The sequence below is a fragment of the Homo sapiens genome, chromosome 5 (genome assembly GCF_000001405.40).
Source record: "Homo sapiens chromosome 5, GRCh38.p14 Primary Assembly".
Lineage (NCBI taxonomy): Eukaryota > Metazoa > Chordata > Mammalia > Primates > Hominidae > Homo > Homo sapiens.
The window spans coordinates 76,371,089-76,388,833 of NC_000005.10; the positions used below are offsets into that span (position 1 = coordinate 76,371,089).

General features: G+C 46.0%; 1 pseudogene, besides 4 other annotated features; it reads left to right on the forward strand.

Moving 5' to 3' along the window:
• Positions 776-1,569: an enhancer, noted in NCBI's record as "NANOG-H3K27ac-H3K4me1 hESC enhancer chr5:75667689-75668482 (GRCh37/hg19 assembly coordinates)". NCBI's record gives its function as "activates a minimal SCP1, AML or CMV promoter by ChIP-STARR-seq in primed H9 embryonic stem cells {active_cell/tissue: H9 hESC(primed)}" and the evidence as "EXISTENCE:reporter gene assay evidence [ECO:0000049][PMID:30033119]".
• Positions 776-1,982: a biological region, named in NCBI's record as "Sharpr-MPRA regulatory region 10118". NCBI's record gives its function as "regulatory_interactions: IQGAP2".
• Positions 1,319-1,982: a transcriptional cis regulatory region, noted in NCBI's record as "candidate enhancer chr5.1827 targeted for multiplex CRISPR interference". NCBI's record gives its function as "positively regulates IQGAP2 gene expression with high confidence in K562 cells {active_cell/tissue: K562}" and the evidence as "EXISTENCE:mutant phenotype evidence [ECO:0000015][PMID:30612741]".
• Positions 1,516-1,810: an enhancer, noted in NCBI's record as "tiled region #10118; K562 Activating DNase unmatched - State 1:Tss, and HepG2 Activating DNase matched - State 5:Enh". NCBI's record gives its function as "activates a minimal TATA promoter and a strong SV40 promoter by Sharpr-MPRA in K562 cells, with weaker activation in HepG2 cells {active_cell/tissue: HepG2 | K562}" and the evidence as "EXISTENCE:reporter gene assay evidence [ECO:0000049][PMID:27701403]".
• On the forward strand, positions 5,550-6,353 carry SNRPCP2 (small nuclear ribonucleoprotein polypeptide C pseudogene 2; annotated as a pseudogene).

Consider the following 17,745-nt stretch of genomic DNA (forward strand, 5'->3'; position numbering starts at 1 on the left):
GAGGCCGAGGCTGGCAGATCATGAGGTCAAGAGATTGAGACCATCCTGGCCAACATGGTGAAACCCCGTCTGTACTAAAAATACAAAAATTAGCTGTGTGTGGTGGTGCACACCTGTAGTCCCAGCTACTTGGGAGGCTGAGGCAGAAGAATCGCTTGAACCCAGGAGGCGGAGGTTACAGTGAGCTGAGATCATGCCACTGCACTCAACCTGGTGGCAGAGTGAAACTCCGTCTCAAAAAAAAAAAAAAAGGTATGATCTAAACCCAGCAAGTCCTGTTCTGTCTGTTCAGATTCTTCCTGGCCTCTCTGTACAGCATTTCTACCTCTAGGGTACGGGGCAGGACCCTCTCTGGAATAAGGGTCTCATGACCCACAATCAGATTAGGGTCCTGCCATGGGGAGGTCAAAGGAAGGCAGGGAAAGACCAGAGAGAGAGATATTCTTTTTACTGTAATAAGGGCTGTGGGAGTTATGAGCCAGGAACTGTGTATGAAAACCAATATGTGTGGCAGGGTGTGGTGACTGACACCTGTCATCCCAGCACATTGGGAGGCCAACACAGGAGGATTACTTGAGCCCAGGAGTTTGAGACCAGCCTGAACAACATAGTGAGACCCCATCTGTAAAATAATAAAAATAAAAAAATTAGTTGGGCATGGTGACATGCGCCTGTGGTCCCAGCTACTTGAGAGGTTAAGGTGGGAGGATAGCTTGAGCCCAAGAGGCTGAGAATGCAGTGAGCCCTGATTTGTGCCACTGCCCTCCAGCCTGGACAATAGAGCAAGACTCTATTTCAAAAAACAAAATGAAACAAACAAATGAAGAAAAAATATACATTTATAAATATAAAATATAAAAAAAAAACGTACATATAATAGCACAACTAGCATATTGAAAAATTGTATCTGGACAGGTGGGAAGCTTTCCAAGTATGTTCTTGGGAAATGACTCAGGACAGTAAATGACTGGCAGGCAGGTAGGAAGGGGGCCAGGCCCTGTGGTAGACCAAGTAACAAACAGGTCCCAGAGCAGGGAGGACAGGGGCAATGTTCCTCTCTCTGCACACACTCCACCTTCTGACTCCCCCACCTCACCCCAGCAGCCTCAAAGGAGCCTCTCCAGGGCCACGCTGGAATGGCAAACATGGGATTTTTTTTGCTGACTTGGCTTAGCAACAAGGCCTCACTCTGACCTTTTCTCTGCACAGCATTAAAGAGAAAGGGTACGTTGAAAGTGGGATTGCATAGATTTCCCATGACCACTGCCACGCTTTGAAGGGAAACTGCTCAGCTGAGCACTGCTTCCTGGAATGAGCAAGGCCATCTGCCCTAGCCTGACCTGATAACTTCCACCCCTGTGCAGGTGCCTTCCCCACGGGAGGTGAGGGCCAGCACAGCCCAGTCCCTGGGAGCCCCTGCCAGGCAAGGGCCACGCTGGTCCTCGGGCTCATGCTGTCAGGGACTTTGTTGAAGGGGCCAGAGGCCCCTCAGTCTATCTTGGTTAATGGCAAGCTGCTTTTAGGATATGCAGAGAAGTAAGAGCGAGCAAACCAGCCACCAGGCCGGGCTTTGTTGACATGCAGGACATCGTTTGAGATGTAAGAGCAGCTCTAGTAGCCCTGCAGCAGCCCTTGCATCTCAACCGGTTTCTGAGTCATTCTCTGGGATTATCAGGCTGGAGTTCTCTGTCATTAGGATGACTCATCATTTTTCTATCTCTGCTTCCATTGCTTCTGTCCCTGCTGACTAAAGTCTCTGCTATCCGCCTCTGTGCCGCAGCTTCTGTGGCTTTTTCTCTGTGGCCCCTTTCTTCAATCCCATCCTACTCATGGTCTTCCCTCTCAAGGTCTCACAAACTCCCTACCAGTAGGGTTTATGGGTTCCACCTGTCACCATGACAGAGCTCTCACGCCAGACACCCTCACAGGACATGGGCCAACCAGTGGGAAGCTGCCTTGGAGTAAGGGCGCTAATTCCTGGCTTAATCAATTAATTTACCTGAAGCCACACATGCAGAGTCACATGATATAAACCATTCATTCATCTGACAAATAGGGCACCTCACGTATGTCACACTCTGTCCTGGCGTGGAGAATACAATGGTGAAATAGAAACAACACAAGTCTTTGCCTCACATTCTCCTGGGGGCTGGGATGGCTGACAAGAAATAAAATCGGCCAGGTGCAGTGGCTCATGCCTGTAATCCCAGCACTTCAGGAGGCCGAGGCAGACGGATCACCTGAGGTCAGGAGTTCAAGACCAGCCTGGCCAACACGGCAAAACCCCATCTCTACTAAAAATACAAAAGTTAGCCAGATGTGGTGGTGAGTGCCCATAATCTTAGCTACTCCAGAGGCCGAGGCAGGAGAATTGCTTGGACTCAGGAGGCAGAGGTTGCAGTGAGCCGAGATTGGCCACTGCACTCCAGCCTGGGTGACAGAGTGAGACTCTGTCTCAAAAAAAAAAAGAAAAAAGAAAAGAAAAGAAAGAAAAAAATGAAGAGTAAAACATAGGCTCAATGTTGATTCATGTGATGGAGAAAAAGCCAGGTAGAGGTATAGACAGTGCCGGGAGCAGGGCCTTGTATGTCGATTTTCAACCACAGGTTGGTTGAGAGAGTGACATTGAGGTCATAAAGGACAGAAAGGAGGTGGAGAGGCCAAGAAGAGACCCCTTATAGGGCTGTGTGCGTGGTAGACATGATGAGGCTTCTGGAACTCTTAGTGCTGGTGTGGTCAGCTCTGAGGATCATGGGGAAACCCTACTGTCTAGGACCTCACAGATGAGAGAAGAAGCTTATGTCCGAATGCACACAGTTCAGTGTATAACACTTGACTGAGTCAGAGAGCCACAGGAGCCACGAGGCATTTAAGGAGGGAAACAGAGTATAGGCCCCATGCTCTGTCCACACCTGTCCCTGCCATCCCAAAGTCCTACCATGGGAGCAGGGAGGCTCCCATTAGGAATTATCAGATTCAGTGGAAATCAACCTCACTTTTCTTTTTTTGAGACAGGGTCTCATTCTGTCACCCAGGCTGGAGTACAATGGCTCACTGCAGCCTCAACCTCCTGGATTCAAGTAATCTTCTCACCCTCTCAGCCTCCCAAGTAGCTGGGACTACAGGTGTGCACCACCATGCCCAGCTAATTTTTTGTATTTTTTGTAGAGATGAGATTTCTCTATGTTACCCAGGCTGGTCTTGAACTCCTGAGCTCAAGCAATTCTCCCGCCTCAGCTTCCCAAAGTGCTGGGATTACAGGCATGAGCTACTGTGCCAAGCTTGGGACTCAACCTTTAAGGCTCATCAGAGTCACTGAGAGAACTTATGAAACACAGTGCAAAACCCATCCCCAGCAATTCCAGTTTTTACACTTTCCCAGGTCATGCAGATGCTGTTGTTCCAGGTACCACACTTTGATAACCACTGCTATGATTTACATCATGCCCTGCCAGCCCTTCCAACTTTGCCCTTGTTCCTCCCTCTGTATAAAATCGTCTACTTCTGGCTATGGGCTGTGGCTCATGCTTCTAAGCCCAGCACTTTGGAATGCTGATGTGCAAGGATCAGTTAAGCCCAAGAGATTGAGACCAGTCTAGGCAACAGTGAGACCTCATCTCTAATAAAAATCAAAAAATTAGCCAGACATGATGGTGCACACCTGTGGTCCCAGCTGCTGAGGAGGCTGAGGTGGGAGGATCACACCACTGCACTCCAGCCTGTGCAACAGAGCAAGACCCTGTCTCAAAAAAAAAAAAAAAAAAAAAAAAAATGGCCTACTTTCTCTTCCTTCTATTTTTCCTCCAAGACCCAACTCAGGAGTCCATTTCCTTCAGGAAAAATTCCTTGACTTTCCCAGGCAAAATCCTTCATGCCCTCATCTTGTCTGAGGTCCCAGCTACTCAGAGGCTGAGAGAGGAGGATTGCTTGAGCCCAGGAGATCAAGGCTCCCTTTATATTTTCATCCCATCTCATGACTGTACTCACATCTACTGCCTTTCTGGATTGTAAGCATTTGAGGGCAATTTCTCCAGTTCCTAGTATCTGGTATGCATTCAAGAAAACTTTCTGAAATCCCCATATGTTTTCTCCTGATGTTTGTGAAAGGAAGGCCCCACTTCCAGCGTGTTTCTTCTTGGGCTTCCCTCATCATCTCAACCCCCCAACTCACCCTGAGCTCTCTGGCTCCCCTAAACTTCCTGGTCCCAGCAGGTCCAGGCCCACTGTTGTACCACATCTGGCCATTCAGCAAAGTTGAAATTCTTTCTCTGACAAAGCAATGTGCAGTTTGAAGGTTTTACTTTGTTTTGTTTTTTAGAGACAGGGTCTCACTCTGTCACCCAGGCTGGGGTGCAGTGGCACAATTATAGCTCACTGCAGCCTTGACCTCCTGGGCTCAAGCAATCCTCCTCTCTCAGCCTCTGAGTAGCTGGGACCACAGGTGCATGCCACCACAGCTGGTTAATTTTTAAATTTTTTGTAGAGACAGGGGTCTCACTATGTTGCCTCGGCTGGTCTTGCACTCCTGGCCTCAAGCAGTCCTCCCACCTCCGCCTCCCAAAGCACCAGGATTACAGGTGTGAGCTACAGCGTCCCACCCAGTTTGAAGTCTTAAGAGAGATGTTTTACCAAGAGACTCCAATAAGCAAAATCAAGCACCAAAAAGGTGAAACATGCATAGCTCTACAGGAAGGTCAGAGAGAGAGAGAGACCCAGTGTTTTAATTCTGCCTCCACCAGTAGCTGAGTGGCCTTCAGCAAGTCACTGGCCCCTTCAGGTGTTCAAGGAACTGGACTCAAAGATTTCTAAGATACCTTCCAGCTCTCAAATTTCACAATTACCGAATCTGAATTTATCTAAATACTAAGCAAAAATACCCAAACTTCTAGCATGACAGTCCCAAGTCTCGTGGGAAATTTGCTCTTCTTCCAAGCTGTTTGCTGGGTTTTTCTCTGCATATGAAGTCATAGGCAGCTTCCTAAAGATTCCAGGTGAGTCTTATCAAAGAACCTGCAAATGAATACTACAGACTTATTGTAGCCTAGAGAAAGGTGCATAGACAATATCTGAATCTTAGCATTGCCACTATGTGACTTGCAGCAAATTATTTAACTTCTCTGGGCCTCAGTTTTCTTGTCTTTAAAGTGGAAGCAAAAACAGAATCTACCTTAAAGGATTCCTATGAGGTGTAAGAAAAAATAATTCACAGCAACAGAGGCTAGCACAGCACTGGTGTTCAGCAAGCATGAGTCAGCTCTTGGGGGCTCCCTCTGCACACTTTCAGTCCACCTCTGCTGCCAGCCTGGCCCCTTAATGAGGAAAACATTTTGTATTCTGAAACTCAAATCCTTCTGATGAGCTTCTGGTCACTCCTCATGGTCTTGCTGGGTCATTCATTCATTCAACTTATAGTTACTAAGGTTTTATCGAATGCCAGATACAGTGAAAAGAATACATACAGATAATTAAGACAAACTTTAAACAGTCCCCATCCTCAAGGAGCTAGAGCTTTGCTTTAGTAAAATTAGACAAGTCATTCATTTCTGGGTGTCACGGAATGGAGTGGCCAATGGCCTGCAGAGCAACATGCCCAAGTTTTATTGTGACTACTGCAATACATACCTCACCCATGACTCTCCTCCTGTGAGAAAGACACACTGCAGTGGTAGGAAACACAAAGAGAATGTGAAAGACTACTATCAGAAATGGATGAAAGAGCAGGCTCAGAGCCTGATTGACAAAACAACGGCTGCATTTCAACAAGGAAAGATACCTCCTGCTCCATTCTCTGCTCCTCCTCCTGTAGGAGCAATGATACCACCTCCCCCTAGTCTTCCAGGTCCTCCTCACCCTGGTATGATGCCAGCACCCCATATGAGGGGTCCTGCCATGATGCCAATGATGGGCCCTCCTCCTCCTGGGATGATGCCAGGGGGACCTGCTCCTGGAATGAGGCCGCTTATGGGAGGCCACAGGCCAATGATGCCTGGGTCCCCAGTGATAAGACCTCCTGCCTGTCCCATGATGGTGCCCACTCGGCCCAGAAAGACTTGACCAGACAGATAAGGATAAAGGAGAGGGCTCATTATGTCGGTTTTATATTACCTGTTCTGCTTCACCAGGAGATCATGCTGCTGTGATGCTGGGTTTTCTAAACAGCATAAGGAAGTCTTGCTCCCCTCTCCTATCAAAGAGAATAGTTTTGGAGGGGAGAAGTGGGACAAAAAAGATGCAGTTTTCATTTGTATTGGGAAATGTGAAAATAAAATTGTCAACTCTTTTAGTTAAAAGTGTATTCCCTTTTTCCTCCCCTCTGTATTCTCTGTATATTATAAAAGAAATGAAACATTCCAGTTCTGTTTCTCTAGCTCATTATCTCTTCAGTATGTCCTCTGTGTGAGATTCTTTTTCCTTAGCTATATGGTAAATCTCTTTGGGCATCCTCCCTTTATTAGTAAAGTCATCTTGTGCAGGACTAAATCTAGCACTTGTAGAGCTTTTGTTGGTTAAAATAATAAACAGCTCGGTTAATTAAAAAAAATTAGACAAGTCAACAACTATAATATGGTGAGATAGGCCGGGCGCGGTGGCTTACGCCTGTAATCCCAGCACTTTGGGAGGCCGAGGAGGGTGGATCACGAGGTCAGGAGATCGAGACCATCCTGGCTAACATGGCGAAACCCCATCTCTACTAAAAATACAAAAAAATTAGCCAGGTGTAGTGGCAGGCACCTGTAGTCCCAGCTACTCGGGAGGCTGAGGCAGGAGAATGGCGTGAACCCGGGAGGCGGAGCTTGCAGTGAACCGAGATTGCGCCACTGCACTCCAGCCTGGGCAACAGAGCCAGACTCCGTCTCAAAAAAAAAAAAAAAAAAAAAAAAAAATATATATATATATATATATATATATATAGTGAGATAAATGCTACTAGGGGAAGCACTGGGTCTACATGTATAGGATAGGTTGAAAGAGATGTCCTAGGCCAGGTGGCATCCAAATCGATGGCAGAAGGGTAAGAAGGACTGGCTCAGCTGCGTGGTGGCAGGGAAGAGGGTTCCTGGGGGGAGGGGGAAATGAGGCTGGAGAGGTGAGCAGAATTATGTCGCTAAAAGCTTTTGGGAGCAAGGCAGAGGCACTGCAGGGTGTGAAGCAGGAGAGTGGCAGAGGTGGCTTTGTCTTTGTGAAGTTGTCTCTGGGTGCTGTGCAGAGAACCCATGAATGGGAGGTAGGGGAGGCTGGCAAACCTGCAAGAGGAGAGAGTGGTCCAGACAGCACTGGGCTGACCCCGGATAGAAGGATGGTGGCTGAAGGTGGAGACAGTTGAGAAAAGGGGAGAGGTGTTTATAGGGTAACATCTACAAGACTAGAGATGAATCAGATGAGAAAGTGTTGGGAGGAAGGAATCGAGAATGATGCCTACATTTCCGGCTCAGGCATCCCAATGGATGGTGATGTCATTAACTGAGATTTGGAGTCAGGGAACAGATGAAATTAGTTTGAGGAGATATAGGGTATATGAGGTTGAGGGGAAGGGCTGTTAAAAAGTAGGAGAACTGTTCATCGATTGCTAGGAAAGAACCAGTCAAGGGAGATGATGAGGACAGAGAAAAAGGGGCCCAGGAATCTGTGATGTGAAGGCTCTGCCAAAGATCAGCCGGGCACGGTGGCTCAGGCCTGTAATCCCAGCACTTTGGGAGGCCGAGGCAGGCAGATCATGTCAGGAGTTTGAGACCAGCCTAGCCAACATGGTGAAACCCCATCTCTACTAAAAATACAAAAATTAGCCGGGCATGGTGGCGGATGCCCGTAATCCCAGCTACTCGGGAGGCTGAGGCAGGAGAAACCGGAAGGCAGAAGTTGCAGTGAGCTGAGATTGCTCCACTGCACTCCAGCCTGGGTGACAGAGCGAGACTCTGTCTCAAAAAAACAAAACAAAACAAACAAACAACAACAACAACAAAAAAAAAACAGAGGGCATGTGGCTGGAGCACGGTGGAAGGATGAGCTCTAGACAGGAGGGAGGCCCCTCCTCAGCTCTTGGGATGGAAGGAGGGAGGCAGCCCCAGGTGTGCAAGCACCGTGGGTCTTTCTTGCTCTCAACCCTGGGAGTCCTGCCTTTCCCAGCATCTTCTCATCACCGACCCATTCTGTTTGTCTGAACATCCCTCAGCCAGTTGGTGAATTTTCTTTCGTTTAGTGGGACCCGCAGTACTCACTGGCCACCTTGAACAAATAGTTGGCTGTGGACAAGCAACTGTGTTTCAAGTTCCTCATCTGTAAAATGGAGACAGAAAAACTCAGTTTCTCGTGAGGGTAAGATGAAATTATGTATGGACGTGCTTAGAATAGTGCCAAGCATGTAGGAAACTCTTTGAAGTGTTAGCTAGTATTCTCACTGGACTCGGGATGTATGAGGACAGACGCTGTGTTTACCTGGAGTGCTCTGGGCCATCCTCTTAGTCAGAAGCAAGCTTCCTGTTTCCTCCCCTTTCAAAGCCACAGAGCTCCTTTTTTTAGCTGTCTATTAAATTCCTATTTCCAATTTACTCCTCATTTTAAAATCAAAGATAATAAATAACCTGTGTGATCTCACGCAGGAATTCCCCAAGCTGCCTAGGACTTTAAAAAAAAAAAAAAAAAAACAACAACAACAACAAAAAATAAAATCCTGGCCCCACCAATAACCAGAATCACTGGGATTTGGGACCATAGAATCTGTATTTCTAATGCTGGTCTGATGAACGGGGCTCAGAATTTGTAGTAATGAAATTAGACTTTAGAAATGGCTCTACATTTAACAGGCAATTTTGGGCACTTCTCTGAGCTTTTATTTATCCTTCTATAAAATAAGGAGAGTAAAATCTGTTCATGGAGTTATTATAAAGATCTGATAAGATATCACAGGGCAAAGCCCTCTGCCAGTCGTCCAATGCTATACATGGTTCCAAGATATTTTTTATGGGGCTCTGAACTGGGATCTGCTAGCCCAGGTTTTATTTGATCACTGAGTCCTCAGATGGTTTTCTAGAATTTCCCACCATAACAGTTATACATCACCAAGAAGAATCTCATAACATATATAATTTTATTACATGTCATTCCCATAAAAGGAAGTGGGATGTATCTTAGTGAAATCCATATGCTCACCACCCCTTTTGTCAGAGTAATGTTTGTTTTTAATCTGCCTTCAACTGACCTTTGCTATGTTTCAAAGGAAAATCCTCTCAATCTCGTATCTGCAGAACTTGAGTCCTGCCCATTGAGGATTTTATCAACTGGGATTTTTTCACCCCTGACCTCAGCCACTCACACTGAGGCATCCTCATAAAGCAGCCCCCTCCCACCCCAGGAGCCCGCCCGGCCTCCTCCTGGGGGTGGTCTTCATGAAGAGGAGAGGGAAGGCTGCTTCTCCATGCCCCTTCAGGATGCTTGCATTTCAAGCCAGGAGCACAGCGCCTGCCTCGGCTTTCACACACTCTACCTGGCTGTGGCTCTGGGAGTCAGAGGGAAATTTATAGTCAAGGAAAATGGAGCTCTTGTGTGTTTCACAGTTCACCTAAGATCACCCCAAAAGGAGGTGTCGGGGGCAGCTCAAGCTCAGTCTCCTCACTCAGGAATCCATGGGCTTTCCCCTGTATAACATACCCCATTGGTGGCCTCTTTTAACTTGAATCTTGTCATTTACAGACATGTTCTTATTTTGCTGTTGAATCTCTTTCCCCCTATAATGCTGGGTTTGAAGAACTAAAGCCTGTGGTTCCTTACAGATAAGCAAGACTCCATCTGTCCACAGTGAACTCTAATCTCTTTGGGTGTCTCTATGTCTCCCTCACACGTATTTATCTCATTTTTGCTCCCTGAAGCCTCTCTCAAACATCATGAGATGATCAATTACTATTTAAATCAATTCGACTTTTAGGTTCCTTCACTGCAGGCATGCAGCTCTCTCTTTGTTTGTTTATTTTTGGGTTTGAAAGGACAGTGCCAGTCTTAGCTCTAAGGCTCTCCCTCAGCAGAAGGTCAAACATTTCTATCTTGAACCTGTGTCATTTGCTCCAGGCCAGCTGTCCTCTCACACACTGCCCAGTAATTGGGCCCAGACCCACAGAGGTGTGGGCAGCAGAAGACAGAGGAAATCCCAAGGCTGGGCTTCCTTATTGAATATTTAGACTTTAAGTTTAATAACTTTTCAAGTATTTATTTGAGAAGAGCCTGTTTTCAGACTCCAGGCAGCCACTGTAAGCCTGGATCCTTGGCTAGCTATGAAATCCAAAGGGTCAGTCTGGGTGCAGTGGCTCATGCCTGTAATCCCAGCACTTTGGGAGGCCTAGGCAGGTGGATCACCTGAGGTCAGGAGTTCTAAACCAGCCTGGCCAACATGGTGAAATCTCGTCTCTACTAAAAATACAAAAAATTAGCCGGGCGTGGTGGTGCATGCCTGTAATCCCAGCTATTTGGGAGGCTGAGGCAAGAGAATTGCTTGAAACTGGGAGGCGGAGGTTGCAGTGAGCTGAGATGGCGCCATTGCACTCCAGTCTGGGCAACAAGAGTGAAACTTTGTCTCAAAAAAAAAGAAAGAAAGAAACCCAAAGGGTCTGATCACTCAATCCGCTAGCAAGTGGGGCAGCCAGATAATGTCAATCCTACCTAAACCCTCCAGTGGCTTCCCATCTCTTTATTTATTTATTTCTAGACGAAGTCTCACTCTGTCACCCAGGCTGGAGTGCAGTGGCGCAATTTCAGCTCACTGCAACCTCCTGCTTCCCAGTTCAAGCAATTCTCCTGCCTCAGCCTCCCAAGTAGCAGAGGTTACAACCACCCACCATCACACCTGGCCAGTTTTTGTATTTTTAGTAGAGATGGGGTTTCACCATGTTGGCCAGGCTAGTCTTTAACTCCTGACCTCAGGTGATCCACCGCCTCGGCCTCCCAAAGTGCTGGGATTACAGGCATGAGACACCACACCAGGCCTTCCTGTCTCTTTAGAAGGAAACCCAGAGTCCTGCACATGCTGCTCCTGCCTCCAGCTTCAGTCTGCCCCAGCCCTTCCATACTCCAGCTTTTGTGGTTTTCTGTGGCACTAGCCTGGGATACCTTCCCTACTCAGCTTTTTTTGTTCCAGGTCTCACAACAATGCCTCACATAGTCAGAAGTTGTCTCTACCACCTGGTCTAAAGCAGCCCAGAACATGGTGCCTGAGATCAGGCCATACATCTGTCTTTGTCTCTTTGTCCCCCTTGTGTCTCTCCAGGGCCCCACCAGGAGCCACTGCTCAGGTCCTCCGACTCTGCTTCACCTCACCCCACCACTCAGCTGATGACCCCCAAAGTCATCACATACCAAACTTTCTCCCACTTCTTTCTTTCCCCTGCTTCCTTTGTCCTCAATAAAAAAAAAATAATAATAATCTCCTGTGCCCCCTTCCTCCAGGATGCAGTTTAGGGGTAAGAGCTGAGACTAGAGCTAGAAATACATTTAGCACGCCAGGCGCAGTGGTTCACGCCTGTAATCCTGGCACTTTGAAAGGCCAAGGCAGGCGAATCACCTGAGCTCAGGGGTTTGAGACCAGCCTGGCCAACATGGTGAAACCCTGTCTCTACTAAAAGTACACAAAAAGTTAGCCAGGCATGGTGGCACCCTCCTGTAGTCCCAGCTACTCCAGAGGCTGAGGCAGGAGAATCACTTGAACCTGGGAAGTGGAGGTTACAGTGAGCCAGGATCGTGCCACTGCACTCCAGCCTGGGGAACACAGAGAGACTCCATCTCAAAAAAAAAAAAAGAAAAGAAAAGAAAAAAGAAAGGATTACATTCAGGAAACCCTAAGTCAGCTGTGGGCCAAGCACTGGCCAGGTGCTGGTTTATGCCAGGCTTTGAATTCCAGCTTTTTGACTGTAAACCCTGGGCAACTGTCTAATCTCTTGGAGCCTCAGGCTTCTCATCTTTGAAACGGGGCTAATCAAGTCTCCTGTGCTGGTTAATTTTATGCGTCAATTTGGTTGGGCCACAGCACCCAGATATTTGGTCAAATATTATTCTGAATGTTTCTGTGAGGATGTTTTTAGATGAGATTAACATTTAAATTGGTGAACTTCAAGTGAAGAAGATTGTTGTCCATAATATGGACAGGCTTCATACAATCATTTGAAGGCTTAAATAGAACAAAAGACTGTTCTCTCCACTTACCCCAGCAAGAAGGCATTCTGCCAGTAGATGGGCCTTCGGACTGGATACCAGCGTCAGTTCTTCCCTGGGTCTCTAGCCTGCTGTCCTACTCCACAGATTTTGAACTTGCCAGGCTCCACACATGAGCCAATTCCTTAAAATAAATCTCTCTCTCTCTTTCTCTCTCTCCATAGACACACACACACACACACACACATGCACACACACGCATCCTCTATTAGTTTTGTTTCTCTGGAGAACCCAAAATGACTATACCTACCTTACAGTGATAAGAGTTGTTATTACTAATAACTGCTGCTATTTCTTGAGTGCTTACAATGTTAAGCTTGCTAAGGGTTTACCACATGTTATTTCATTTAATCCTTACCACACCCTTATGAACTGGGTATTATTATTGTCGGCTGTGTACAGTGAGGAAATAGATGCTTTGAGAGATTTAAATCACTCACAGCTAGCAAAGGGTGGAACCAAGATTTGAATTTTAACCACCATCCTCACTGCCTCAACTGAGTGTCTAACTAACAGTGTTCCTCTTACCCAATAAATGTTCTATTCCACTCTCTCACTAAAGTAATGTAAGCATATGCATTCCTTTTATTCATGTATTTAATTTTTAAATGTATACATATATGTTTGAACATATATGATTATATGTAGTATATTTTATATGTGCATGCATATATATATATATAAAATCATCTGACTTATGTGGTTCAGGAGCTGTCAGGAGACAGGGACAGAAGGTTCTGACTGCATTCCTCAGACCACCCCAGATTGGTTTTCCTGGGGGCTGAGTGTCTGCCTACCCAGCAGAGCCCCCTCAGCTTCCTGCCTCCATCTGCAATGCCGGAGGGCAGCCCTGCCACTCAGGCCAGGGAGCTCCCTGGAAGTCATCCCCTCTTGGTCCCCTCCAGTGAGCCATTTCATCTTGTGTTGTTGCAGAATTTCTAGGTGCTCTGACTTTGTCAGGGAGCAAACTGGCTTGATGGTAGAGTTTGTGGAGGAGGAGTTGTGTACATGACATTTGACCTGGACTTTGTAGAGGTACCATTTTGAGCCTGTTCATTTAAATCTCTTTTTACTGATAAGCTCATACACAAAAACAAGACGCTGGAGTGGCCGGCTTCCAGCATAGCAGAAGGTGGGGAGAAATGCAGTTTGCAAGGTACCGTGGCTTGTCACGCTGCTGCCAAGGAAATGCTGCTCAAATTCACCACCAGGTTTAACCCTGCCTGCTCCAATGTAGTGGTGTGGTCAGGAAGCACTTGGCCTGTTCTGGAGAGGGAAGAACCCTCAGTAAGAGGCCCCTAAGTGCCTCAGTAGTGGCTCTCCTTCCCCCCCCCACCACCCCCCCAGCTTTTCATTAGTGTTTTCCTAGAAAATTTCTTTTACCAGTGAACAAAATTTTTTTTTAAGTTGGAGAGAGAAGGACCAAATAAAATTTTTTTAAATTAAAAAGCCTCTTAGGGCAGGTAAATGTGCACTTTTCTTTTATGCCAATTAGAATAAGTCGAATTAGAAAGCAGTTTCCACTTATTATGCCCCTCTTAGCACTTTGCTAAAAGCTTTGCCTACATTATCTCCTTTGATGTTCCCACAACCCTGTCAAGTGGGTATTACTTGACGATGATGGCACAATGGCTCAAAGGGTGCAGGAGCCTGCCCAGGGTCACATAGCTGTAAGTAGCAAAGTTGCTACTCCAGACTTCCCCTGGCAGAGAAGCATCTCCTAGAATGATGTCTTGGTGAAGGGCACGGGAAGCTTTTGACTTTCATAATCATTGGTTCTGCTGGGAAGTGTGCCTAGAAGGAATGCCTAAAAATGATGGAATCTACCTGCTTTCTTTACCAGAATTCATTCATTCACTCACTCATTCAACAATTGTAAATTGAGTGCTTCTGCTATGTGTCAGGCCTGTTCTAGATGCTGGAAATATGATATAGTCCTGTCTGTCTGGCCAGACACTGGGTTGCCATTATGCAGAGGTAAAACATTTTAAACATCAAATTCAGCAAAACCTTCCCTGATGGATCTAACTCTTTGTTGTAAAAACTCACAGCACTGCTTTTTGCCAAGAAATGTCCTTACTCCTATAACTTTCTGACCTTGTTTGGCAGAGATTTGTACTGTTATGAATCCTTTCCAAAACCCATGCCTTCTTAAACCAGTTAGGCTATGAACTCCTTTAGAGCCGAGGTTGTACACATATCAGTCACCCAACAAATACACTTTGACTTCATGAAAATAATTTTTGATACTGAATAATTTCCCTGTAGAATCAAATTGTTTACATTTGGCCAGGCACAGTGGCTCGCACCTGTAATCCTAGCACTTTGGAAGGCCGAGGCGGGTGGATCGCTTGACCTCTGGAGTTCTAGACCAGCCTGGGAAACCCAGTCTCTGCAAGAAATACAAAAATTAGCCTAGTGTGGTGGCTCATGTCTGTAATCCCAGCAACTTAAGGGGCTGAGGCGGGAGGATCACTTGAGCCCAGGAGGTGGAGGTTGCAGGTTGCAGTGAGCTGAGATTGCAACACTGCACTCCAGCCTGGGTTACAGAGTGACACCCTGTCTCAAAAAAAAAAAAAAAAAAATTTACACTTAAGCAAGTCAACCATTTGATTTTAAGCATTAAATGTATGATCTTAATTTTCCTATCATCTTTTACCCCAGGATCTAAATCTGGACTGTGAGTCCATGTGTGTAGACGGTGATAATATTTGGTGTGACTTGAAATTCAGCTCCTTGAGTCTCAGATTCCTGCAAACTGAGGGAAATAAGAAATGTTTGCCAATAACACACAAGCTTTATGGACTTTTTTTTCCAAATTCTGTTCTCTCTCTCTCTTTTCCCTCTCTTGCAGTCTCTCAGATCATAGTCAGATTTTTCTAAATTCAGACAGTATCTTCTGGGCTGTGAAGAAAAACTAGGAGACTCTGAGGAAGGTTGCTGACCTCTGCCTATCATTCCTTAAGGTTCTCAGGGTTCTTGTTTAAACACAAGTCTTGTTAAGCACTTTCTAAAACCAGACAGCTCTATAAGTTTGGAGAGAGAGAAAAGGAAAAGCTAGGAACAAAATCATCTGTCAGGCTGATGATCACAGTGCAGAATGAATATAGGGCCAGTTATGGGGAAGGGGAATGGCACAGGCAGAATTATAAGTAAACAGGTTTTCTCCCTTTCTGGGCTGCAGGATCTCATGCCAACGTCCTGGCCTTGGCTGCCCTCCAGTCTTGTTTGACCTTGGAGCTGTACCTGCAAGGCGAGGGAGGAGCCACATCTTTCCCTAAGCAATGCCTGGCACTTTGCCGGAAGGCCTGGCGCCCCATTGGCATCAGGTGGCTGTGATGCACTTCTTCGTGTGCTCCAGCCCCAGTCATGGCTGGGCTGGCCCCAGAAAGAGGCCTGTGGAAGCTCCAGGCCCTGAGGGAATTTCCTTGAGGGAAACCACTGGAGGTGGATATGGGGGTGGGAGAGCTTTCTCTTTTTCTGGAATAGCTCTGGTGAGGGGTGTAACTGCTCCACCACCCTACCACCTAACTACAGGCTCAAATATCTGGCTCACCCCACTCTCAAAAAGGCTAGCACATCTCCCAGGCTGACACAATAGGCAGATTCACCTGTACCAAAATCTCTCTCCACCAGGCCTGTCTTCCGGTCTAAAATTTGCACTACCATACGCTTTCCAGTAGGTCCAAAAAACCCCTGTGAAAATGAACAAGTGCCAACTGAGGGTATAAGATTCCAGCTCTGGCTTAACAGACCTATAAGACTGTCCAGTTTGCTGGATGCCACCTAGAAGAAATCAGGGCTTCGAGAGATAGAGCCAGACTCTGCAGAGCTAAGTCTAATAGCAGAGGTGAGTTAGGAAACCCCAAAGCACTAGTGCTCCATAGGCTTTGGGTGGGAAAAGCAAGGCAGAGACAGGCAGGGCACACAACCCTAGGCAGCAGGTCCTGGGGCTTTGACTGAACTGGGGTTTGTGTCCCATTTAAGGAGGCAGTCACTGACCACTCTCAGCCCATTCCTGTTGCATGGAATTGTGGGCCCCACTTGCCAGATTTTTGTTTTGTTTTGTTTTGTTTTTTAAGAGAAGGTGGAAACCAATTTCTTTCTTTTTTTTTTTTTTTTAGATGTTGGCAACTAATTTATTTTGAAACACTGTAGGCCTGAACAGTACAAGCTAAATGAAGTACCTGTGGGCCCCATTTGGCTTCTAGGGAATAGTAAAGGAGGATTCTGCCCAAGGCCATATCTGCTTTCAGGAGCAGCTGAACTACCACTCTTTCCAGCTCTAATGCATAACAAAACTATTTAACCAGCATGAGGCTCTTCTTCTTCTTTTTTTTTTTTTTTTTTTGAGATGGTATCTCACTCTGTTGCCCGGGCTGGAGTGCAGTAGCGTGATCTTGGCTCACTGCAACCTCCACTTCCCAGGGTTGAAGCAATTCTCCCTGTCTCAGCCTCCTGAGTAGCTGGGATTACAGGCACCTGCCACCATGCCTGGCTAATTTTTGTATTTTTAGTAGAGATGGGGTTTCACCATGTTGGCCAGGCTGGTCTCGAACTCCTGACCTCAGGTGATCCTCCTGCCTCAGCCTCCCAAAGTGCTGGGATAACAGGCGTGAGTCACTGCACCACCCGGCAGCCATCATCTTTGCATCTTATGCCTTAGTTTCTTCCCCATAAAATTAGCAGGATAGACCTAAGCCTCTGGGCTGAGGATCTCTAACAGCTTTCTACTTAGAGCACTGCCCTTGGCAGAACTCAGGAATGCCCTCTGGCAAAAGTGTGAACTGGGTGATATTAAAATTCTTTGATCTCCATTCCACGTCTGGTGACCTGATGCCCTCCAGGTGAACTGTAGATGCCCCCAAGACACTTAATTGAGTAAAAAGTTTGGTGATTTTACTAAGCGACAGCAAGGTATGTGTATAATATACATGAAAAGGTGCAGAATATTATATACAAATGAATGTCATTTGTACAAAAAACTACATAATGAATTCATACACTTTTTTTTCCCTCACCTTAAAGGTTCAGGATGTACTAGCCCACTGATTAGAGGGATCACATCCAGGACTCTCATACTGAATGCCAGTAAGTGTTTAGTGTTTGGAGCTATCTGCTCATCCTGACTTGGAAGCAAGTTTATTTATTCAGCATAAAAGGAAGTATTTGAACTCACTCACAGAGTGATTCTCTACAATATTTAAAAGCAGCAAGACTGGACAGACAACTTTTAGAACAAGACATATTTCTCTGTTGTGAATACCACCTTGATATCTTAACTAGAGAATTATAGCTATACCGGAGCTCAACAGTAAAAAGAACATAAATTTTTTTTGTTAAGATAGGTAATATTTTATATTATAAAAATGAGCCTTTTTTCTTCTCAAATTCCCTTCTATTACCTTCTTCATTCAGCTATTTCATTTTGAATCACTTTTTTTTGTGAAACTAAACATGTAAACAGTGTTTTTATGAATATTCACCACAATATTGCCTAGGTGAATAGAATAACTTTCTCCATCCCACTCCTATTATTTTGCCTAGGTTATG